The 25,323-nt window shown below is 39.9% G+C and overlaps 1 non-coding gene and 1 pseudogene across 1 annotated transcript; one reads left to right on the top strand and one right to left on the bottom strand.

Annotated features, from left to right (window-relative positions):
- The first annotated feature begins 5,101 nt into the window (after nucleotides 1–5,101).
- On the top strand, nucleotides 5,102–5,187 carry MIR8088 (microRNA 8088). Its single transcript, NR_107055.1, has one exon. It is a non-coding gene; the product is annotated as a microRNA 8088 (primary transcript).
- LOC100421603 (family with sequence similarity 156 member A pseudogene) lies at nucleotides 15,054–15,578 on the bottom strand (annotated as a pseudogene).

Raw genomic sequence — 25,323 nt, 5'->3', positions numbered from 1 at the left:
ATTATGACTCACTCTGTGGTTGGTTTCAGAAGTCATGAAGTAAATACTCCTCAGTGAGATATCCACAAGTGGCATCAAAGGAGGCTGTATAATTTACAGGAGGATGGGGTGACTGCAACTGTAGGGGAGAGACTGAAGGTCACATAAACACTATGTTCATAGACAAGAAGGAAGCTAGGTTCACAGGAGGCTGGTGTGGACAAATTCATTGTTAATCACATCAGACCAATTTCTTACTGCATCTTTGGACACTGATCAGATTGGCAGGTCAGGTCCAGACTGCAATCACTTCCCATCTTAAATTTTGAAATGTGACAATGTTTCTCATCCTGGATATAGGTGTCCAGAAAATCCAGAAACCTTACAACCAAAGGTTTCTTGGCTGGGCATGGTGGTTCACGCCTGTAATCCCAGCACTTTGGAAGGCCAAGGTGAGAGGATCACCTGAGGTCAGGAGTTGGAGACCAGCCTGGCCAAAATGGCGAAACCCTGTCCCTACTAAAAATACAAAAAATTAGCCTGGCGTGGTGGCTCATGCCTGTAGTCCCAGATACTTGGGAGGCTGAGACACGAGGATCACTTGAACCTGGGAGGTGGAGGTTGCAGTGAGACAAGATCGCACCACTGCACTCCAGCCTGGGTGACAGAGTGAGACTCCGTCTAAAAAAAAAAATGATTCCGATTTGAGGAAACTATTTTGACAGTTTTGTGAGTTGTTTGTTAAGGGCCTCACTCTGCCGATCCTTCCTGGTAACCTCAGCACCCCCTAGACTGACCAGGCCATGACCAGAGCCTCTCCAATCTTCAGGGGATCTCCTGCCCACCTACGTCTCCTCTATCTGTGGTCGTGCCCTGGGCCTCGGGAAAGACCAAGCTGCTCCACGATGTCCATTTCTTGCATCCCCCACTCTCACCATGGGCAACACCCAATCCAATCCTAACAGCTCCCTCCTTCCAATGGCCCAACATCCATAGCCTTCAGCCTCAAGGAGGCCTCCTGTCCACTGACCCCAACGGCATTCCTTACCATTCACCTTCCTTACCCAGCTTACTCAAAGCTATTAACTCTCGCTCCTCAAACGCATCTCTTCATTTTCCCTCCTCCTACTCTCCTGGCAACCCCCGCCCCCCCCGCCACCAAACAAGTAGACAAACGATGTGCACCCTCCACAAGTGTATCTTCTCTCTCCTCTTCCTACAATAACCTCCACAAGGACTAGCACCAACTCTTCTCATGATATTCCTTGATATTCCCCTGAGAAAACAGGAGCAATTGGAGAGAAACTCTCACCACTTCCCAACAGCAGTGGGCCTGCACTTGTAATCTCAGCTGCCCCACTGGAGGAAGTGACAGGATCCTACTTGAGGCCAGCCCTTCACCTGAATCCTATGCCCTCTACTTTCTCAAGGTAGAGGCTTTTGTAGTAATTATCACTTTTTCCTGAATTGTCACATTCTTTATTTATTCTGGATTCTTCTGTCATCTACAAACATGCTCTTGTTTCTGACATTTTATACAAAATGTAATAAAACAGAAACCCGTTCCTTATCCCATATTTCTCCAAGGTAATGACACATTTCCCTGATGCTCCAAGCAGCAAATGTGTCTTCCCTTGTTCTATAACCATTATCATCACAAACCACTTAAATGCAGCTTCTATCTGCTCACCTCCCAACAGAAAAATGCTTTGGTTAAAGGCACCAATGGCCTTCATATTGCCTAACCCTATGATCACGTCCTCATCCTTTTATACTATATGTCCAAATGCCTTCAGTACATTTGACACCTCCCTCCTTCTCAAAGCCTACTCTCCTCCCTCCCTCCCTGCTTTCTCTCCTCTCTCTTTTTATGCTATATTTTAAATTTTAGATTTGTGAAAATACCTCTCCTGGTGTACCTCCAACCATATTGGTCACTCCACTCTTTCTCACTAGCCATTGCCCATTGCTTGCTCTTCCTTTCGGCATGAAGTTTAGCCAGTTCCCCTTCTCATTCTACACTCTCCCCCGGGTTGTTTCTTCCATTTTCCCATCATACAGCAGTATCCTTATAAATCTTAGGGTTTCTGCTCAGAGAAGCTTTCTCTGACTGTCCTGTTTAAAGTAGTGAGTTTGTAGACTAGCACCTAAAGTATTTGCTTCCTAACACTGATCGCAATCTGGACTTATTTATTCATTTATTGGTTGGTCTTCTGCTGCTCCCTGGTTCAGTGCTAAATTACCAACTTATATAAGACTACCAAATAGCTATTACGAGAGATTACACAAATATCTGTTTAATACTTAATAAAGAATCACTTGCGACTTTATGCTTCCTTGCCAGGGTGGAGGCATGACTGAAGAATCTCTCTTCAACTCTGCAAGAAATTTTGCAATGCGTATGTTCCCCACAATAACTCCTGTAGATTTCTGGTTATGTATAGTAAAGCCATAGGAATACTTTGCCCTGCCTTGTTTTTCTTCTTAATCATAAAATTATTTTACTGATGTTTTACATGGCATATACAATAAATTTGAGGGAAAAAGAGGAAGATGTTAGCTAATGAAAAGGTCATGTAGGCCTCCATAAAGTTTCAGAAATAATACAGACATGAACATACACCTGAGCTTGCCCCCGTAACTCCACAAACACACCACAAGCTTCAGGATAGTTTGTCTCTGATTCTCAAGTAGTCTCAGAAGTTATCAGACAATGCTGGGGATAGCTTGCTTAAGTGACGCTCTCTGGACACACATATTGAAAATGCTGATGCCACACCTTGTAAGCCCCTTTTAAAGCATGATGACTCCTGTGACGGTTAATAGTGAGTGTCAACTTGATTGGATTGAAGGATGCAAAATATCGATCCTGGGTGTGTCTGTGAGGGTGTTGCCAAAGGAGATTAACATTTGAGTCAGTGGGCTGGGAAAGGCAGAACCACCCTCAATCTGGGTGGGCACCATCTAATCAGCTGCCACTATGACTAGGATATAAAGCAGGCAGAAAAACATAAAGAGAATAGACTGTCTCAGCCTCGCAACCTACGCCTTTCTCCCATGCTGGATGCTTCCTGCCGTCAAACATTGGACTCCAAGATCTTCAGCTTTGGGACTTGGACTGGCTTCCTTGCTCCTTAGCTTGCAGATGGCCTATTGTGGGACCTTGTGATTGTGTGAGTTAATACTACTTAATAAACTCATATATATATGTGTATATATATATATATATATATATACACATATATATATATATACATACACATATATATATATATACACACATATATATATATATATATATTCTATTAGTTTTGTCCCTCTAGAGAACCCTGACTAATACAACTCCCTTTGAACTCCAAGTTTATTTTTACAGAGAGCTTGCCCTGCTACTGATGATGTATTGACTTGTATTTGGTAATCCCTTCCATTTTGAGTTTCTTTATCTGTTAGTCAATTTCCTTCAAACATTTCAAATGAATTTGAATTCTACAAGAGAAAGTACAAATCCTAAAGACTTCCCTTTATGATCTGGATTTACTATGGGAATCCTTATGTCAACATGAAAGATAAAGAAAATAAAAGAGTGTTCTGTTCCAGCCTTGGGGGTGTAGAAGGCATGGAGACAGTGTCAGATGGAGGTAAGAGACTCTCATCACAGTCTCTCTTCTATGGGCCTTATCTTACATGTGACAGGTGTGTCAGAGAAGTGGAAGGGAGTCCCAAATAAAGAGATTTTTTGCCCAGCTGAAATTTAGGACTCAGTTTACTTCTGCAGAAATAAATAGCAAGATCCTTGGTTAGAGAAATGGCTGGAGTTCAAGAATTTCAGTTTTTGGAGCTGATCTTTGTTCCTGCAGGGCGCTACATTCTCTGAGAAGGGAATGTGGAAGTGGCTGATTCAAGAGCCAGGAGTGTTACCATGAAGCAAGCATAACCCAGATAGGTGCTAGGTGACCCTGCAGCTGAGGCTGTGCTATGGACAGCCCTGCCCAGATGTGGGAAGGAGGATGAGGCCCCGATTCAGAGGGGTCTGCTGATGCCAGCACAGGTGGGCTGAGGCTGAGTCAGCCAGGGAGCACCAGATCCTGACCAAAATGAGAGAGACAAAAATGCAAGTTACACCAGCCAGAGAAATGGGTGAGCAAATCAGCATCGTCAGCAGAACCTGAGAGAGAAGATTGAGCCTTCCCTCATAAACAACTAAGGACACTGCAGTCAACATAAGATGTCATAGGCCCCTTCCCATATCACCATGAAGACTCGAAAGCCATACACACCATTAATCGTCTTGGAAAGGAGTAGGGAGGTGGGGTGGAAATCTGAGAGACTGATCATTTTCAGCAAAACAGGCTGAGCATTTATACAAATGGACCATTCACATGATAGCATCAGCTGACACCAGATTAGACATAACTCCAGTATTTTCTCACCTTACTGTCCAGTACAGAGGTTATGCACTCATAATGAAAATCAAATCAGCCTTAGCAAGTAAATGCACCAGACCCCCGTCTGGTCTGAGAAGCACGAATTAATTTGTGGTCTCTGCATACCATCTCTTCCAGCTCCCCCTCTGCCCACTGTCTTATCAGTCAGTGGAAGAGGGGATTGGGACATCCTTGCCTCTTCTTCTCCTTTAACCCAGGACAATTTTAACCTGCTATATATTGACCCTGACAACAGAGCACAGAAAGAGAAGACCAGAAGAGAGACACACAGAGTGGAGTTACTGATGAGAGTTATTGCTGAGGTGAGCAGGGCCTCCTCAAGGCTTGCAGCTGCCCTCCACTAGTGATTCCAGGCTCCACTGCCCTTTGCCAACACAGGCCTCATTTCCCATGGTCTGAGCCCTGGAGCTTAGAGTCAGAAAATGTTCGCAGCTCTGTGTACTGCTGGGGAAATTCATAGAACCACATGTTAGAACCACTGCACTTTCATAGTCATCTCCTAGGGTCTCAGTGCCCAGGAGCAGGCTTTCTTGGCATCTCTGGTCCCTCCCCTAGTCCCTTCTGTGGGGACCCCAAGATTTCACCTCTCTCCTCGAACCCTCTACCACATATCTATCCCCTCACTCTTAGCCACATCACATTCCCATTCTCACCTGAGATCCAAGCAGGCAGGGGGAGGGAGGAGGGCCTCGGTACTGGAAAGGGGTATGGATTCTGTTGTTTTGGCAACATTCTTCTTATCGGCACTGGGTCACTCAGCTCAGATCCATAGTTGGTTACCTGAGAATCTGAAGCCTAATCCATCTGACTCCAGAGAATAACAAACAAAGGAGTGGAAACTAAGACAGGATGTATCAAGGGAGGCCACCCACAGACATGGAATCGTGACTCTCAATAGATGTGTTTGTCACAAGGGTCCTTGAACATGCAGAGACACGTGTACACATGTGTACTCAGGAGCACTCATTGCTCCCTAGAGGATCACAGTGACTGTGGCATAAGTCCCAAATGTGTACATTGGGGACGCCTGGGATGAGGCGGGAATGTAGGCACATGGTAGATCATGAAAGATGAAGAGGCAAGATTTGTCTTTTAAAAATTATTACCTACCCTTTCTTTCAAGGCTGATTTTGACATTTGCATTACAGTTAGAGCCTCATGCACAACTATTTATTTAGAGTAAACTCTATACTAAATCTGTCTCACCTGAGAGATGAAGCCCCATTTCTTTTAAAAAGTCATAATAGTGCTGCAGTGAACATACGCGTGCATGTATCTTTGTAATAGAATGATTTATATTCCTTTTGGTATATACCCAGTAATGGGATTGCTGGGTCATATGGTATTTCTGGTTCTAGATCAGTGAGGAATCACCATAGGCTTAATACCTAGGTGATGGGTTGATAGGTGCAGCAAACCACCGTGTCACACGTTTACCTATGTAACGAACCTGCACATCCTGTACATGTACCCCAGAACTTAAAATAAAAATGAAAATTAAAAAAATAAAATGAAAACTAAAAACTGTAATATTACATTGCTGGCTCTTCTGATTTTGTTATCTTGTGTAGTTGCTCTTGAGTTCAGCGGATGCTGAAATGACAACTCTTGAACACCAGAGTAAGAGGTGGGTTGAACATGTTGCTTTTCATTTATAGTAGCTTAGGTCCAAAAAAGAAGATAGACCTAGATAAATAGGGACGGAAATGTACTCACTGATATTAGGAAATGAATGAATAGATGGAGAGATGGTGGTCCAATACACGGAAGTCTTAACCTACATATGAGAATTCATCCCCAAATTGTACTTTTTCAAGCAAAACTTTAGTTATTATTCTTCCTGCTGTGTGATGCATATTGAGTTAAGAAGCACTACTCAAGTGGGTATGTGGCATTTACATCATTTGTATATTTTCTAGTGCTCGGATGTTGGTCAGTGAGGAGAATTCCAGTGATTCGGCAGCCAAATAGATGCATTAAAAGCATCATGCAACTGCAAGCTTTTATTTATGAGCTGGTGATAAACATGTCACACAATGCCTAAAGGTGGCATTCGGGCCCGGAGGAGGTCACAGAGAACCATAGTGTTAAAATTAGGAAGAAGGTCCCTTTAGAGAGTCCGTTGATCTGCCTTATAGAATGATGCTGAGGCTTTTTAATGGAGTATGGCCTATTGAAGCTCTTAAAGTATATTTCTTGGATGGATAGATGGATAGAGTCATGATTGCATGCATGGCTGGATGGAGAGATGGATGGATGGACTTAAACAAGATTGTGCAGTGTCTGTGAGAGTTTCTTTGCTGATATAAAGGTATTTGTGTGATTGGCATAATAGAGGGAAGCCTGAGATCTTTCAGTGCAGACTTTTTAATGGTAACAACCACTGCAGGGATGATAGATTCAGCTAGGATTCAGACCCCTGGTCTTCCCTTGGTAATGACAATGTTACAGAGGGATCTGTATAAAATAGGCAGGCAGCACAAGTAAGTGGTCTTTTGCTTTGGAGTCATCTACCTCACAAGATACTGTTGGGAGATTAAACAAATCAAGGTATTAAAGTGTTCCCAGCACATACTAAATACTCAGTAATGTTCATTTCCAGTGTTACTTTTTGTGGTGCCTTAGAAGACCAAGGATTTGTACCTATTAAGATGAGTAGGAGTGTCAGTAGTCACATGACCATGCTCATTACATCTACAGATATTAGTATTGTAGCAGATTATATATTTTTTTCCATGTTTCAATTGTTGCTCATAATTTCTGGTCTTCAGTGAAGCCCTCCACTGCCGCTTTTTAATAACACATTAATTTTCAATAAAATCATCATTTGAGTGACTTATAACTCCAAGCAGAATCTATTGCACTCAGACCACCAACTTGTTATAACTTCCAATTCAATTGTACACTCCATAAAATACAGTGAGGAAACAGGCTAAAGAAAAATCACAAGATCATATCAATAGATGCAGAAAAAGTGTAGACAAAATCCAACATCTACTTATGATTAAAACTCTAATACAGCTAGAAACAGAGGGGAACTTCTTCAGCTTGATAAAGAACATCTGTAGAAACCCTACAGCTTACATTATTCTTAATGGTGAGACACTAGAAGCTTTCCTGCTAATATCAGGAAAAAAAGCAAGCAAGTCCCCTCTCACCACTCATTTTCAACATCATATTGGAAGTACAAGCTAATGCAATAAGACAAGAAAATGAAATAAAAGGTATACAGAGTGGGGAGGAAGAAATAAAACTGTCTATGTTTGCAGATTACATGACTGTCTATGTAGAAAATTCGAAAAACAATAGACAATAAACCATCCTGGAACTATTAATAAGTAACAAGGTTGCAGGATACAAGGTTAATATACAAAATTTAATCACTGTCCTATATACCAGCAATAAACAGGTGAAAGTGGTATAAATCTAACCAAATATGTACAAGATCTATATGGGAAAAAGTACAAATATCTGATAGAATAAATCACAGAAGAAATAAATAAAGAGATACTTTATGTTTATGGATAGGAAGGGTCTATATTGTCAAGATGTTAGTTCTTCCAAACTTAATGTATAGATTCAACACAATCGTAATGAAAATCCCAACAGGTTATTTTGTGGATACCAAAAAACTGATTCTAAAGTTTATATGGAGAAACAAAACACCATGAATATCCAAATCAATATTGAAGGAGAAGAACAAAATTGGAGAACTGACACTATTCTACTTCAAGACTTACTATAAAGCTACAGTAATCAACATGGCATGGTACTGGTGAAAGAATAGATAAGTAGAGCAATAGAACAGAATATAGAGCCCAGAAATAGACTCATATAAATATAGTCAACTGATCTTTGACAAAGGAGCAAAGGCAATATAGTGGAGAAAAGATAGTCTTCTCAACAAATGGTGGTGAAAGACTCTACATTGACATATGAAAAAAAAAGAATCCAGACACAAAAATTAACTCAAAATATATCATAGACATAAATGTAAAATGAAAAACTATAAAAACTATAAAACGCCCTGAAGAAAACATAGGAGAAAATCTATATGACATTGGGTATGGTGATGACTTTTTAGATATAACACCAAAGACATGATCTATGAAAGAAAGAATTGATCAACTGAACTTAATTAAAATTAAGACTTTAATTAATTAAACTTAATTAAAATTAATTATACATACATATATATATATATATATATATATATATATATATATATATATATATATATATATATATATATGTATGCCCAGCCTGGGCAACAAGAGCAAAACTCCATCTCTCTCTCTCTCTCTCTCTCTCTCTATATATATATATATATACACACACAGAACTCTTAAAATTCAACAATATAAAAATGAACAACCCAATAATAAATGGGCAAAAACCTGAAGAGACACCTCACAAAGAAGTAATACAAATGGCAAATAAGTATATGAAAAGATACTTAACATCACTAGGAGGTTGTAAGTTAAAACAACAATAATATACTTTTACATAGAATGGCCAAAATCCAAAACATGTACAACATTAAATACTGAGGAAGATGTGGGTGTGGAGCAATAAGAACTCCCATTTATTGTTGATGGGAATGCAAAATGGTATAGCAATGTTGGAAAGCAGTTTGGCAGGTTTTGTTTTGTTTTGTTTTTTTCACAAGACTAAACATACTCTTACCATATGATCCAGCAATCACACTCCTTGCTATTTACCTGAATGAGTTAAAACTTATGTCCACACAAAAACTTGCACATGGATGTATAAAGCAGCTTTATTAATAATTGCCAAAGCATGGAAGCAATCAATATGTCTTTCTGTAGGTGAATGGGTACACTGTGGTACACCCAGACAATTATTTATTATTCAGAGCCAAAAAGAAACAAGCTATCAGGACATGAAAAGACACAGATGAACCTTAAATGCATATTACTAAGTGAAAAAAAGCCAATCTGAAAAGACCACATACTGTGTGATTCCAACGACGTGACATTCTGGAAAAGGCAAAACTATGAAGATAGTAAAAGGATTGGTGGTTGCTAGGGGTTGGAGGGAGGCAGGAATAAATACACAACGCACAGAGGAATTATTTAGGGCAACGAGACTACTGTATGTGATACTATAATGGTGGAAACATGTCATTATACATTTGTCCAAACCCATATAATGCATGACACCAAGAGTGAACCCTAATGTACACTATGGGCTTTGGATGATAGTGATATATCAATGTAGGTTCATCAATTGTAACAAATGCACTATTCTGGTGAGGGATATTGATAATTGGGAAGGCTATGCATGTGTCGGGGCAGAGGCATATGGAAAATCTCTGTGTCTTCTGTTCAATTTTACTGTGGACCTAAAACTGCTCTAAAAACTAAAGTCTATAAAAGCAACCCAATCAGGAGTTCCACTTTTGGCCACCATGGAGTTGGCATAGTACTGCCTATCTCTCCCACTGATTATAACTAAAGATTCTAGACCAAATGAAAAAAAAAAACACCAAAAAAACAAAACAAAACATAAACAAAACAAAACAAAAAAACAAAATCAAAAACAAAAACACTTACCTGAGGAATCTGAAAAGTAAGCAGAAGCAGATGCCTTATACCAGAGAGTGAACCCATGGAAAAGTGACTGGTACAGGTTGAATTATAACTTTTCTTTTACTCTTTTCTCTTTCAGCTTTGATCTGGAAACAAGTCTCTTCGTGGATCTGTGCAGACCAGTGGCACAGGCGGTTGACAGAGGAAGAGAAAACTTGGCCCTGCTTTACGGATGGTTCTGCATGATATGCAGGAACCACCTGAAAGTGAAGAGCTGCAGAATTATCGTCCCTTTCTGAGACATCTCTGAAGGGCAGTGGTGAAGGGAAATCTTCCCAGTGGGCAGAACTTCAAGCAGTGCACCTGGTTGCTTATTTTGCTTAGAAAGAGAAATGGCTGGACATGTGACTAGGTACCAGTTGATGGGCTGTGGACAATGGTTTAGCTGAGTGGTCAGGCGCTTGGAAAAAATATGATTGGAAAATTGGTGACAAGGAAGTATGGGGAAGAGGTATGTGGATAGACCTCTCTGAATAGGTGAAAAATGTGAAAATATTTGCTTCTCATGTGAATGCTCACCAAAGGGTGACCTCAGCAGAGGAGGATTTTAATAATCAAGGGGATAAGATTATCTGTTCTATGGACACCACTCAGCCTCCTTCCGCAGCCACCCCATCATTGCTCAATGTGCCTATGAGTAAAGTGCCCATGGTTGCAGGGATGCAGGTTATGCACGGGCTCAGCAACATGGACTTCCACTCACCAAGGTCAACCTGGCCACGGCCACTGCTGAGTGCCCAACCTACAAGCAGCAGAGACCAACATTCAGTCCAGGATATAGCACCATTCTCTAGGGTGATCATCCAGCTACCTGGTAGCAGGTTGATTAGATTCGACTGCTTCCATCATGGAAAGTGTAATGTTTTGTTCTTATTGTATTAGACACTCTGAACAAGGATTTACCTTCCCTGCAGGTAATGCTCTGTCAAAACTACCATCTATGAATTTACAGAATGCTTAATCCACCATTGTGCTATTCCATATGACATTGCTTCTGATCAAGGAACTCAATTTACAGCAGTGGCAAAGGGCCCATGCTCTTAAAATTTATTGGTCTTACCATGTTCCTGACCATCCTGAAGTAGCTGGCTTGGTAAGACTGTGGAATGCCCTTTTAAAGACTCAGTTACAGTGCCAGCTAGGTGGCAATACTTGCAAGGCTGTGGCAAAGTTCTCCACAAGGCTGTATATGCTCTGAATCAGTGTCCAGCATGTGGTGTTGTTTCTCCCATAGCCAGGATTCACAAGTCCAGGAATCAAGGGATGGAAATGAGAGTGACACTACTCACTATTACTCCTAGTGATCCACTAGCAAACTTTTTGCTTCTCGTTTCTATGTCTTTATGCTATGCTGGCCTAGAGGTCTTAGTTCCAAAGGGAGGAATGTTTCTACCAGGAGACACCACAATGATTCCATTGAACTGGAAGTTAAAATTGCCAACTAGCCATTTTGGTTTCCTCATGTCTCTGAATCAACAAGCAAATAAGGGAGTTTCTGTGCTGGCCGAGGTGATTGATCCTGACTACCAAGGGGGAAACTGGACTGCTCCTCCACAATGGAGGTAAGGAACAGAATGTCCAGAAAATAGGAGATTTCTTAGGGTGTCTCTTAATATTACCATGCCTTGTGATTAAGATCAATGGGACACAACAACAACCCAGTAATGCAGGTAGGACTACTAATGGCCGGGAGAATTTAGGAATGAAGGTTTGGGTCACCCCACCAGGTAAGAAATACAATTAGCTGAAGTGCTTGCAGAGGGCGAAAGGACTTAAGGAATGGATAGTGGAAGAAGGTAGTTATAAATACCAGGTATGATCATGTGACCAGTTTTACAAACAAGGACTACAATTGAGTATTTCTTCTTTATTTTGTCATGAAATGTATGTGTGTATATGCACAGGGATGGAGGTTGTGCCTATATACACGTTAAACAAATAGCTTTTTTTCTATCTTTTATCCCCTTATCATATGAGATTTATTGACTTTACATTGTAGTATTTAAGTTACAGGATATCATGGAGAAGAGTCAACATCACCCAAGTGCATCCTTATCTGGGGAAAGGGTTAGTGCGCTTTTGGTTTTACATAGGATACTTGTATCTTGTTAGGTGGAAGCACAACCTCATTATTATATTTACTTGGAGATTAGGAATGGTTTAAAGATATGTATTTGGGTGCCAAATTGACAAAAGGTGGACTTGTAATACTTAATTTTACGTGTCAAGTTGGCTAAGCCATGGTATCTAGATATTTGATCAAATACCAATCTAGGTGTTGCTGGGACACTATTTTTTTAGATCAGATTAATGTTTAAATCAGTAGATATTGAGAAAAGCATACTACTCTCCGTAATGCAGGCCTCATCCAATCAGTTGAAGACCTTGGGAGTAAATAAGCTGGAGTCCCCTGAGGAAGAGAGAATTTTGCCCCCAGACTGTCTTCAAGCTTGATCTGCAATATAAACTCTTCCCTGAGTCTCCAGAGTACCAGCCTATCCCACAGATTTTGGATGCCACAGATTTTGGACTTGGTAGCCTCTACAATCATGTGAGCCAATTCCTTAAAAATAAAAGTCTTCCTTTGTCTTTTCTCTCTTTCTATATGTTTGTGTGTGTGTGTGTATAGATAGATAGTGTGTGTATATATACATATATGAGTGTGTGTGTGTGTGTATATATATATATGCACATTTGTTCTGTTTCTCTGGGGGACCCTAATATTTTAAGACATCCAGCCATACTTCTTCTAAAACTTATATATAAATGCAAAGAACCTAGAATAGCAAACTCAATCTTGAAGAATAAGGTTGTATTGTTTGTCAATGTTTTCTCCCCCAAAAACCTGCCTTGATTTTAATCAGTTCCAAGCTGGTTGTATCTTTAAATGTACATGCACCTATATGTATTTGGAATATTGCCAGAGTCATAAGAAAACTATTATATTTCTCTGAAAACATATCACATTTTACATAATGAAATTAGGCCATGACCTTTCAAATGTATAAAATATGCAATTTTTTACACTGTCCTCTTGAATTGTGGTATAAACAATACAGGATTACTTTAACTCTCATACTCTGATGAAATCACAAGCCTAGGATCCAGTCCATATTAATTTGTATGTCCTCAAGTGTTTATGTGTGAAAACATTATGGAGTTTTTGCTCTATTGCACCACTGAAGATTGCCTAAGAAAGCAGATTTCCCCAGAGCCAAACTTATTTTCCCATCAGCAGAATATTATGACCTGTGGTGGGATAACTCTCAGAGGGCTCTATAGGAAAGAAATTAGCACAATCAATTTCATATTATGAAAAGAAAACGCATATATACTGTTGGTCACACAACTGGCAGAAGTAAAAACAACATAATAATGCTCTGGGCCCCCGCGCCAATAGCAAGCATGAGAGTGCTGGGGCACCTGAGAGGGAAGAATCTATTGTGGAACACCTAAATCCGTGGCAGCTGCACAACACGCATATGCTTACATGGTGGGCAGGGTACTGCTTCCCACTGCTATCACAAAGCGGGAGTTGGACCATCCAATGGCTACTTCACATGCTGCCCTGATTATGGTACCATAAAGAGTAATGCAAATGTTTTCAAAGGTCCCTTTCCTACATCCCTATTCTAATCTGCAAGTAGTTCCCCTTGACAAACTACCATCCAAGTAATATTAAATAAAAATACACAGGTATTGTTGTTGACAATTGAGACAACACATTGGAAATTTCTTCAGGGAGGTGTTTAACAATTATAAAGGAGCATAAAAATATTTTCCTGGCCGGGGGTGCAGTGGCTCATGCCTGTAATCCCAGCACTTTGTAATGGTGGATAACCTGAGCTCATGAGTTCAAGACCAGCTTGGCCAACATGGTGAAACCCCGTCTCTACTAAAAAATGCTAAAATTAGCTGGGCATGGTGGCAGGTGCCTGTAATCCCAGCTACTCGGGAGACTGAGGCAGGACAATCTCTTGAACTCGGGAGGCAGAGGTTACAGTGAGCCGAGATCGTGCCACTGCACTCCAGCCTGGGCAACAAGAGTGAAACTCCGTTTCAAAAAAAAAATTTTTTCCTATACGTGCCTCATGAAAAGTAGTTTATCCAAACAATTCAATGTGAAGCCCACAAATTCTATTCACACATCCTTTTGTCACACATTCTTTTGATTCAAAACTTTAAAAGTGGATCTCATCTTTTTATTAACCTCAGAATTCCAAAACACAAATAAATTTCATCAGACATTGTGTTTTTGCTTTTTTTTTCCTTTTGGTCAATCCATGAGACTGAACAAAAACATTTCAAAACCAGCAAGACATTTACACTACACATATCCTTTATACCTTACTGGAAACAGGATGGGGAAAAAGAGATCTAAGGAGAAGAAAGACAGGTCCTATCATAAAAACTAAATAATAAGTTAAGAAGCATTGTTTATGAGAACACTTGGACACAGAGCGGGGAACATCACACACTGGGGCCTGTCGGGGGGTGGGGTCTGGGGGAGGGATAGCATTAGGAGAAATACCTAATGTAAATGATGAGTTGATGGGTGCAGCAAACCAACATGGCACATGTATACCTATGTAACAAACCTGCACATTGTGCACATGTGCCCTAGAACTTAAAGTATAATAATAATAATAAAAAGAACCATTGTTTACCCATCTTCCTTGCCGCAGAGTAGATCATCCCAGTATTTCCCAGATTAACTCTAAAATTACTGGGAAAATGATCGTTGCTTTCCTAGAACTAGATCAAATCTCATACTGATACAATTTTTTTTTGTCAAAATACTGGTTCTTGCTGCTTCTAATGACCATTCCTAATTGTATAGTTCCCAAAAATTTCCACCCAAGCAACTGGCTAAAATCAATATTCACACATCTGAATCAATTCTGATCTAATCACGAGGATTAGAGTCTTGGATTTATTTCGACTGTCATTTTAGGAGCCTAGGCTCTTTTGCCTTTCTTCTGGCTCTCATGATGGCTCTTCTCTCTTTACTTCTCTTGAGCAGCTCCTCTGGTAGATGACAGGTCTGTATGGTACCAGGGCTGAAGGTCAAGTGGTTAAGGCCCTGCACTAGCGTTTTCCAAGAGGATGGATTCTACCCACTAGGGCTCCTAGAATTATCCTCCCTATAGATCTGGCAGTAAAGATATTTACATTTATTTTTATCTTTATCATATGAGGAAGAGATTTTTACTTTCCCTTCAGCCCAGTAAGGTGCCATGGGATTGAGGATTTTCTGTCTTATGTTCTCCATGAATATCTTTTTCTTCTCAGGGAATGCTGACCTTTCCCATTGCCTCTCTTGTTGGGTCATCTCATCTTCATACTGCAGTTGGAGCAGCCCCTCTGGCTGAGGGTTGACGTAGTTGCTACAAGGACCATGGTTGAAGTTAATTGGGCCCAGGTTTTGCATTTCAGGGAAGGATGTTTGGGAGGTTGATGTAACTTTCTGGGGCATTTCTTTGGTTGGAATCAGAGATGAATCAGAATTCAAAGTTGGAGTGACTCTCTGTGGTGGATCCATGAAGTTACAGTCCCAGCTTGAAGCTCTTATTGGATCTTCAGGGCTGGACAGGAAATTGAAGCTTGACGTTCTCAAATTACTTGAAATTAGTGAGGAAAAGACCGCAGCCAAAAGTTGTTAAACTGCAAAAAAAAGTGGTGGAGGTAAAAGAAAGAACAGGGAGGGTCACAAAAACGCTTTGTATTTTTTTATGGTAGAAAACATCTTTCTACCCCAAATAGAAATTATACCAACAACAGTGAAGCATGTTAATAATTGAACATACAGTGAAAGTCATATTAAAGTGGCTTCCTTGGTCCAGGCTTGCTCCCCTCCTGAAAGCATGGAAGCCAAAGGTCTACTAGTTTTCTAATTATTATGCTGTATCTTGTGAATTTTATACCATTAGCTGCAATGAGCACACCTGACACCCAGGTCTTGGTTTCTTTATACCATTCTCTAATAAAAAGAACCAGGGCTTCTGGGATAAATGGCTGATTCTAGAAGACTGAGGCGACATGACATCTAAATATAATGTGGCATGCTGGAAAGACTGAGGAATTGTTACAGACTGGTGCCTACACAAATAACCCTTCAGTACTCATCCAAGACTTAAGGGGATGTTTTTCCAATCAGGGTCATTAAAAAGATTAATTAACCCAATATATATTCAAAGAAGCCTACTATATTTCAGGCAGTATCATGAAACAGTATCCTACATGCTATGTTCCAGCCAATCTGAACAACTTTCTGTTCATCAGATGGCCCATTTTCTCTCTGATTTTCATAACCTCACCCATGTTGTTCCCTCTGTGTAGGATGCTTTCCCTCTCCATCTGGCTAATTGCTACTTAATCTCCATCTTTCAAGTTACACTTATATTTCTCTAGGAGGCTTTGTCTGCCTTCTTGAAGTTAGATTATTTCCTGTCATGTGCAGACAAAATCCATACAATTGCCTTCTCCTTAATACAAAGCACTTATCACAGTTTCTTGTCAGTGCTTATTTTATGGAATCTTTCCTAACAGAGTAGGAGTTCCTTGAGGGCAGGGGTCATATGTATCTTTTCCCCCCTTGAATCCCAGGACCTAACATAATTTAGGATACTATTTTATGTATCTAGAGTGATAGTTAAATATCAGACATTAGTAAGGGGTAATAATCAAGTATGAAACCACACATCAAAAATTCCTACTCATCCAACAAAGGTTAAATCTGGATGGAAGAGCGTAGCTAATAATCTTTATATTTTTACTGGGTGGAACATGGGAATTCGTAATAAATTCCACAAATAGAACAATATTTTATTCAGGTTCAGAATGAGCTGACTGGAAGTGCAATCTAATTTCTGGCATTTCAGGAGGTTTCCTTGCTCATAATAGAATCCACATAGCAAGTGTCAGGCCCTTGTTTTCCACTGAATGTCATTGTGTCTGAATATGGTGCCTGGAATTGTAGCCACAATTTTGGTAACACGAGGAGATCCTGGCTGAGGAGAAGCCTATCCAGTAAGGACAGAAGCCCAAAAATACAGAGTTTGTTACTTTACAGTGTCATAGAACTATGAAATTAATCATGCCTGAAACCATCATACTTATGGACTTTTTGTTATATGAGATAATTTTTCATCATAGATTAAACCTATTTAGTCATGTTTTCTGCTATATAAAAAATGTATCTTAACTAAGTTACCCTAGCTCTGTCAAGGGGTTCATTTCTGGTCCTTTCTCATCACCAGGGAGATATGGATCAGTTGTCTGCTGACCCTGGGGACCATCTCAGAGAATTTGACAAGCCTCATCCATCCCCTTTGGCTCCTCAATAGATTTGTTAAACCCACTCAGGGTTGTGCCTGTTCCTACAATGTTCATTGAAAAGCTGGGACTCCACTGTTGGTACGGATGACTACAAAATAAGCTATGAGGATTAGCTCCATAACTTTGCAGCATATTATTTTACCTCTTCTTAGTACAACTTAACTAAGGATAAAGTGAAGCATGTACATTGAAAGTATAAACAAAAAGAAAAGTACTGGTGAGGTAATGGGGTGTGGAAGGATGACACTGATGTGTAGCATTTGCTAGCTAATGTCTGTGGTGTAAATACTTCCATCATCGCAGATTTCAAGTTGTTGACAATTTCATAAATGGTTTGAAAAATTCCTGGGGTATTTAGAGATCAGCTTTTGTGACTTGATATGATCTGGGTCCAGAACACCACTGAGTGCTGCTAAGCTAAATGAGATTTTCAGGGGTCCTGGCACCCTTCATCTCCTCACTGATGTGTGACTTATGCAGGCCCGTGGTTAATGGTACCTCCTAGCCTGTAACTAGGCTGTCTGTATCCTTCCATTTCCCATACTGAAGAGAGCAGGGGCAGTAGGGATGGGTCTTGTGGTCTCATCTTCACAGAATGGATGAAGTCATAGGAGCCATGTTCAAGTCTCTGACCAGGGCTCAAAATTTGTCTATGTCTCTCACTCCTCTTACCCCTCAGATGTGTACAGCAAAACTGAGGCACCCAGAGCTACAGTAACTTGCCTAAAAAACAGTTAGTAAGTGATGGAGCTGGAAATTCTGCTTCAGATCTTCCTATCCCCAAAGCCAGAACTCTTCATATCTGTGCCATGAGGCCTTTCTTAGGGAACAGGTACAAAAAATCAGAACATTTTACTGGCTTGTTCTGGAGGATCAGGACAAAGGCATGTTTGATTTAGTGATATATCATGATATAAAGACTGAAGAGAAAGAAAGCTTCAGTTATAGTTCTTTTATTTAACAAGAGAAAATTATTATCCAGAGCAAGATTGTCATATAAAGGTTGAGACTTGCTTTACTTCCTTTTTAATCCTACCCCTGGAAAAGATACTAAAACTAATTAAGCAAATAATCAAATAATGTTGGAGAGGATAAGGGATATCAGTTACCTTCATACACTTCTGGCGAGATTGGAATCCAGGCTAAGAATATGCATTGCATCACAATTTCAGTGTAAAATCTATACGATCCAGACATATTACTTATAAAAAACTTTTCATGAAATGATTGGACAGATATACAAAAGTTTCTCTTTTTTTGAGTTGTTCAAATCCTCTAAAGTCTTTTTTTATTGTATTTTTTATTATTATACTTTAAGTTTTAGGGTACATGTGCACAACATGCGGGTTTGTTACATATGTATACATGTGCCATGTTGGTGTGCTGCACCCATTAACTCGTCATTTAACATTAGGTATATCTCCTAATGCTATCCCTCCCCCCTTCCCCCACTCCACAACAGGCCCCGGTGTGTTATGTTCCCCTTCCTGTGTTCATGTGTTCTCATTGTTCAATTCCCACCTATGAGTGAGAACATGTGGTGTTTGGTTTTTTTGTCTTTGTGATAGTTTGCTGAGAATGATGGTTTCCAGTTTCATCTATGTCCCTACAAAGGACATGAACTCATCCTTTTTTATGGCTGCATAGCATTCCATGGTGGATATGTGCCACATTTTCTTAATCCAGTCTATCATTGTTGGACATTTGGGTTGGTTCCAAGTCTTTGCTATTGTGAATAGTGCCGCAATAAACATACATGTACATGTGTCTTTATAGCAGGATGATTTATAATCCTTTGCCTATATACCCAGTAATGGGATGGCTGGGTCAAATGGTATTTCTAGTTCTAGATCCCTGAGGAATCACCACACCAACTTCCACAATGGTTGAACTAGTTTACAGTCTCACCAACAGTGTAAAAGTGTTCCTATTTCTCCACATCCTCTCCAGCACCTGTTGTTTCCTGACTTTTTAATGATTGCCATTCTAACTGGTGTGAGATGGTATCTCATTGTGGTTTTGATTTGCATTTCCCTGATGGCCAGTGATGATAAGCATTTTTTCATGTCTGTTGCCTGCATAAATGTTTTCTTTTGAGAAGTGTCTGTTCATATACTTTGCCCACTTTTTGATGGTGTTGTTTGTTTTTTTCTTGTAAATTTGATGGAGTTCATTGTAGATTCTGGATATTAGCCCTTTGTCAGATGAGTAGATTGCAAAAATTTTCTCCCATTCTGTAGGTTGCCTGTTCACTCTGATGGTAGTTTCTTTTGCTGTGCAGAAGCTCTTTAGTTTAATTAGATCGCATTTGTCAATTTTGGCTTTTGTTGCCATTGCTTTTGGTGTTTTAGACATGAACTCCTTGCCCATGCCTATGTCCTGAATGGTATTGCCTAGGTTTTCTTCTAGGGTTTTTATGGTTTTAGGTCTAACATTTAAGTCTTTCATCCAACTTGAATTAATTTTTGTATAAGGTGTAAGGAAGGGATCCAGTTTCAGCTTTCTACATATGGCTAGCCAGTTTTCCCAGCACCATTTATTAAATAGGGAATCCTTTCCCCATTTCTTGTTTTTCTCAGGTTTGTCAAAGATCAGATAGTTGTAGATATGTGGCATTATTTCTGAGGGCTCTGTTCTGTTCTATTGGTCTATATTTCTGTTTTAGTACCAGTACCATGCTGTTTTGGTTACTGTAGCCTTGTAGTATAGTTTGAAGTCAGGTAGCGTGATGCCTCCAGCTTTGTTCTTTTGGCTTAGGATTGACTTGGCAATGCAGGCTCTTTTTTGGTTCCATACGAACTTTAAAGTAGTTTTTTCCAATTCTGTGAAGAAAGTCATTGGTAGCTTGATGGGGATGGCATTGAATATATAAATTACCTTGGGCAGTATGGCCATTTTCACAATATTGATTCTTCCTACCTATGAGCATGGAATGTTCTTCCATTTGTTTGAAATATACAAACATTTCTAAACAAAGGTATTTACACTACCTATATTTGAAACTGTGGAAAAGTGGAAACAAATATACACCCGTAAGGGTTTAACTGCAATAAATAGGCTACTTCCATGCATGGAGTTATATACATTTTACATTCTAAGTATGTCTTGAAATATTCAGGCTACATCCAGTAAATAAAACTTGGCCTCCGTTAGAGTAGGTGTTAAGATCACAAAGAACATAAGACTCCAATGTGTTGTTTTGGAGTCAAAGTATCTCACACATGCTTTTTGTGTTAGTCCAAGCCTTTGAGAAGCTGATACTGAAGTAGGATTCAACCTGCACAAAATTTATGAGGGGAAACAAATAATACATTTATTGGGTGAGAGTGAATGGCAGACTAGGGGGAGCTGGGTCTGAACTTGGGTCCCTCAGGTCTGAACTTGAGTGAGGAAGAGAGAGAAATAAGGAATCAGGTGGGATGAAAGCATTTTAGATTGCACACCAGTTCTAAGTAGAGTTTGGAAAGGTCGTTGGGGAATCCTTGAGCCAAAGTTGGTCATCAACTTGTTTCTAGACAAAATGGAGTAACAGTAACCAGATTTAACCTCCCACCTGAAACAACCCTCCCCCACCCCCATAAAAAAACAGACAAGATAGATAAAACAACGACTGGAAAGTCACTGTACATCAGGCAGCAAAGGACAGTGATCCTGGAGAGAAAGGAAACAAAAAAGGTGGGACCAAAGATTGCCTCAACTTATTGCCTTGAGAGAGCTTTCAGGCTTCTGCACATGTAGAGGGAAACCAGGTGGAGCCCAATGGACTCCCTGAGCTGAGTGTCTGAGGAGATCAAGACAATTGGAGCTCAGAGAGTACCAGAGAAGAGAAAGTTGCAAAGGGAGAGAACCCCAGGGATCTTAAAAGAGTCTCTCTCAGGTATTCAGCAGATTACTGTTCTGAACATGCATGTTAGGTAACTTCCTGAGGCCAGGGAAAGAACCATCTCATAGGATTAGAGAGAAGAGTAGCTAGCACAGGTACAGGACTGGAAATAGTGCCTGTTCTCACCAGTCACACTAGAAAACCTCAAGATTCATAAGACATTCGGTAGAGTACTCATAAGGATCTTTTTTCTCAGTAGTGTGGTGTAACTTAGCCCTAGACTGAGCACTATTTCAGTCCTGCCTAACAATTCACATGAAATATAAGTAAGTAAATGAATGAATGAAAGAGCAAACACATAAATAATATTGGAGAATATGAAGGATAATGGTTACTTCTATATACTCCTGGTGACACTGGAAGGCAAGCTAGGAATATGCATCAAGATTTAAATATAAAATCTATAAGGTCTTAATAGGGTCTCCCTCAGCACCTCACTGTGAGGTAACTTCCTGAGGCCTAGAAAAGAACCATCTCACAGGATTAGAGGGGATAATACCCAGTGCTCTTGCAGAAATGGGAATAGCATCTGTTCCCACCAGTCAGGCTATAAAACCTAGCAGGCATGAAAATAGTCATTAAAATTCAACCCATAATTAGAAGATAAGTCAATCAATTGAAACTGACCCAAACATTAGAAATAGCATATTAGGATATTAAAACAGTTACTATACCTGTATTCCGTATGTTCAAAAAATTAAGTTGAGTCGTGAAAAATATCAACAAGACACAAATGACCTATAGATAAAAACGGCAATGTGAAAGATTAAAAATACACTGGATGAGATTAATGGTATATTAGATATCGCAGAAAAAAAATACCAAACTTGATGACAGCAATACAAATGATCCAAAATGAAACCACCAAGAAAAGACAATAATTTAAAGAAACTAACAGAGTATCAGTGAGCCAGAGGACAACTTCAGGTGGTCTCATACATTTGCAATTGGAGTTCCTGAAGTAGTAGAGCAAGGGGTGAGGACAGAGAAAATATTTGAAGAAAAAATGGCCAAATTTTTTTCCACATTTTATGAGAACTATAAATGCACAGGTACAAGAAGCTCAACAAGCCTGAGCACAAGTAACATGAAGAAAATTTCTTTTTTTCTTTTTCTTTTTTTTTTTTTTTTTTTGAGACGGAGTTTCGCTCTTGTTGCCCAGGCTGGAGTGCAATGGCATGCCATCTCGGCTCACCACAAGCTCCACCTCCTGGGTTCAAGCAATTCTCCTGCCTCAGCCTCCCGAGTAGCTGGGATTACAGGCATGTGCCACCACACCCGGCTAATTTCGTATTTTTTAGTAGAGATGGGGTTTCTCCATGTTGGTCAGGCTGGTCTCAAACTCCTGGCCTCAGGTGATCCGCCCACCTTGGCCTCCCAAAGTGCTGGGATTACAGGTGTGAGCCACCGCACCCAGCAAAGAAAATTATACCAAAGCACATGATAATAAAATAGCTCAAAACCAGTGATACAGAGAAAAGTCCTAAAACCAGCCAGATAAACAAGACACGTTAATTACAAAGAGGAAATTTCTTTTCTGAACAATGCAAGTGAAGACATACAGGGATATCTTAAAGTACTGAGTGAAAAAAAAATCCCTGTCAGCCTAGAATTCTATACACAGTACAAATAACTTTTAAGAACAGTGGCAAAATAAAGTCTTTTTCAGACATACAAAATCAGAGAATTCATCACCAGCAGAACTGCATTACAAGTAATATTAAAGGAAGTCCTTCAAGCAGGAGGAAAATGACACCAGATGAAAATATGGATCTAGACAAACGAATGAAGAGCACTGGAAATATTAACTGTATGGGTTAAGGTATATGATTTCATTACTATTTAAACTCTTTGAAAGATATTTGTTCATGAAAAAACAATGTAGTGTAGGGATTTTCACATATGTAAAAGTAAAATGTATGAAAAGTAACACAAAGATTGGGAGGAAAGAGATGGAGTATACTGTAACATTCTAATAGTATAAATTAAGTTATATAATATTACTTAAATGTATACAATGACAGGTTAAAAGTATATTTTAAACCCAAGAGCAAACACTGAAATAACAAAGTTATTGCCAATAAGCTTACAAAGGAAATAAAATGAATCCACAAAAATAAACAAAAAAAAAAAAAGCAGAATAAGGGAAAAGGGAACAAAGGGCAGATGGAATGAACAGACAATAAAGTCAGCCATCACAAGAGTCCCTTGCCCCTTGGGAACAGTCCTACCTTAGTGTCTCTGCTACACTCAGTCACAGGCAAAGAGCAGCCTGCAAGATTCGTGGTCTAGTAAAAACATGGAGATGCATTTTAGAATGTAGCAGCTGGTGCCCTCTGACAATTACATTCCCTGTAGGCAGAATTCTAAGCTGCACTTCCTAATGGAAGGTCATACCTTTGCATCTTGTTTAGAAAACTCTTCTCCACATCCTGGCTAACTCCTCCTATCCTTTTAGTTCTGAGATTCGTGGCACTTCCTCAGGGGAGCTCATCTGACTTGCCCAAAAGCCAAATGCTGACAAAGTACTCTTCATTCTGACATAGGTAGTGCTTACACGTTTCTTGTAATTGCTTGTGCAATTCTCTATCCTTCCCACGTCCCCTAGACTGTGATTTTAAAATTGTGACACAAGTGCCCAGCTCAGTGTGCTTGGAACTCAGAGCATACAAACTCCTCTTTGTGTGCATGAGCTGTACTCGGTGCCTACAGCATTGTTCCTCTAGATACCACTGTTCCCTTACTCTTCACAGTCTTCAAGTATCTGCTCACATGTCATCTTCTCAATGAGGCGGACCATGAACATCCCATTTAAAATGGCATACCCACCAACCAGCACTCCCAATCCCCCTTTCCTGCTCTACTTTTCCTGTAGCATGAATTGCCAACTACTGCACTGCATTATTTGTTGACTTATTTAAATTTATTATTTATGACTGTCTCCCCCACAAGAATATAAACTGAACAAAGGCAGGCATTTAAGACCGCTTAGTGCACTGGAGAATCCCCAGCTCCTAGGACACTGCCTGGCACACAGATGGCCCTCAATTAATGTTTATATCTGGAATGAATGAAGTGTCTGGCACAGAGTGGGTGCTGAGGGAATTACAGCCTTTATTATTGCTGATTTCCTGGTTGAATGAAACTGGAGAGGAGAGGAGATAGTCAATCACAGAACAGTGCAAGTTGCTGAATCACTGAGGAAGGAGTTGCTTGGATGTGGTCACCACCGTCTACCTAGTTGCCTAGACTAGAACCCTAGCAGTCATTCTTGATTGAGCAGGTGCCACCTGGTCCACACCCAGCATGGAGATGAGGCAGGAAGTGGGAGCTGGAGTCCTTTGTAGCTTACTCCATGCCACCTCATCAAGCCTCAAGTTTACTTTTTAAGTGCTTCAAATTCCCAGTCATCCCATGTTCAGTTGTCTGTTAATAATAACTGATATATTACCCCACTAAATATGAATGCAATTCCACTGCAATCTGATCATTCCATTCTATTAAATGACTATCAAGAGTAATGACAATGATTATTATTTCCATTCGCCATGTGTTGATCATGAGAAATTCGAATAAGAATTATTAGGTCTCTTTATCTGAGGAAACTGAGGATCAGCAAAGGAGAGTAACTGGACCAAAGTTAATGTAGCCGATAAATGACAAAGCACTGATTTAGCATCTCAGCCTGTGAACTTTCTTTCACACAATTACAGGAAAATATTGACAATTGTGAGAAAAGCAGTATTACAGCTGAAACTCAAATATTAGGATGGGACTCACAGGTAGATATGAATTAGTGGCCAGGTTCCCTGTTCAACAAAGGGAGGCTAAAGCTGCTTAAGAATTCACAAGTGAAATGACAAAGTTTTTTTATTACATTTTAAGTTTTAGGGTACATGTGCACAACGTGCAGGTTTGTTACATATGTATACATGTGCCATGTTGGTGTGCTGCACCCATTAACTTTACTCAATAGAATATCATGGAGTTTCACTATAAATTCTCCGAATGGAGCAAGATCTAATTTTGGCTTATTTAAAGATAATTAGAAATATATTTTTACATT

This window comes from Homo sapiens, chromosome X (genome assembly GCF_000001405.40).
Source record: "Homo sapiens chromosome X, GRCh38.p14 Primary Assembly".
In the NCBI taxonomy this organism is placed as follows: Eukaryota; Metazoa; Chordata; class Mammalia; order Primates; family Hominidae; genus Homo; species Homo sapiens.
Note: the sequence above shows the minus strand (reverse complement) of the source record. Positions and strands in the feature narration are given on the sequence as shown.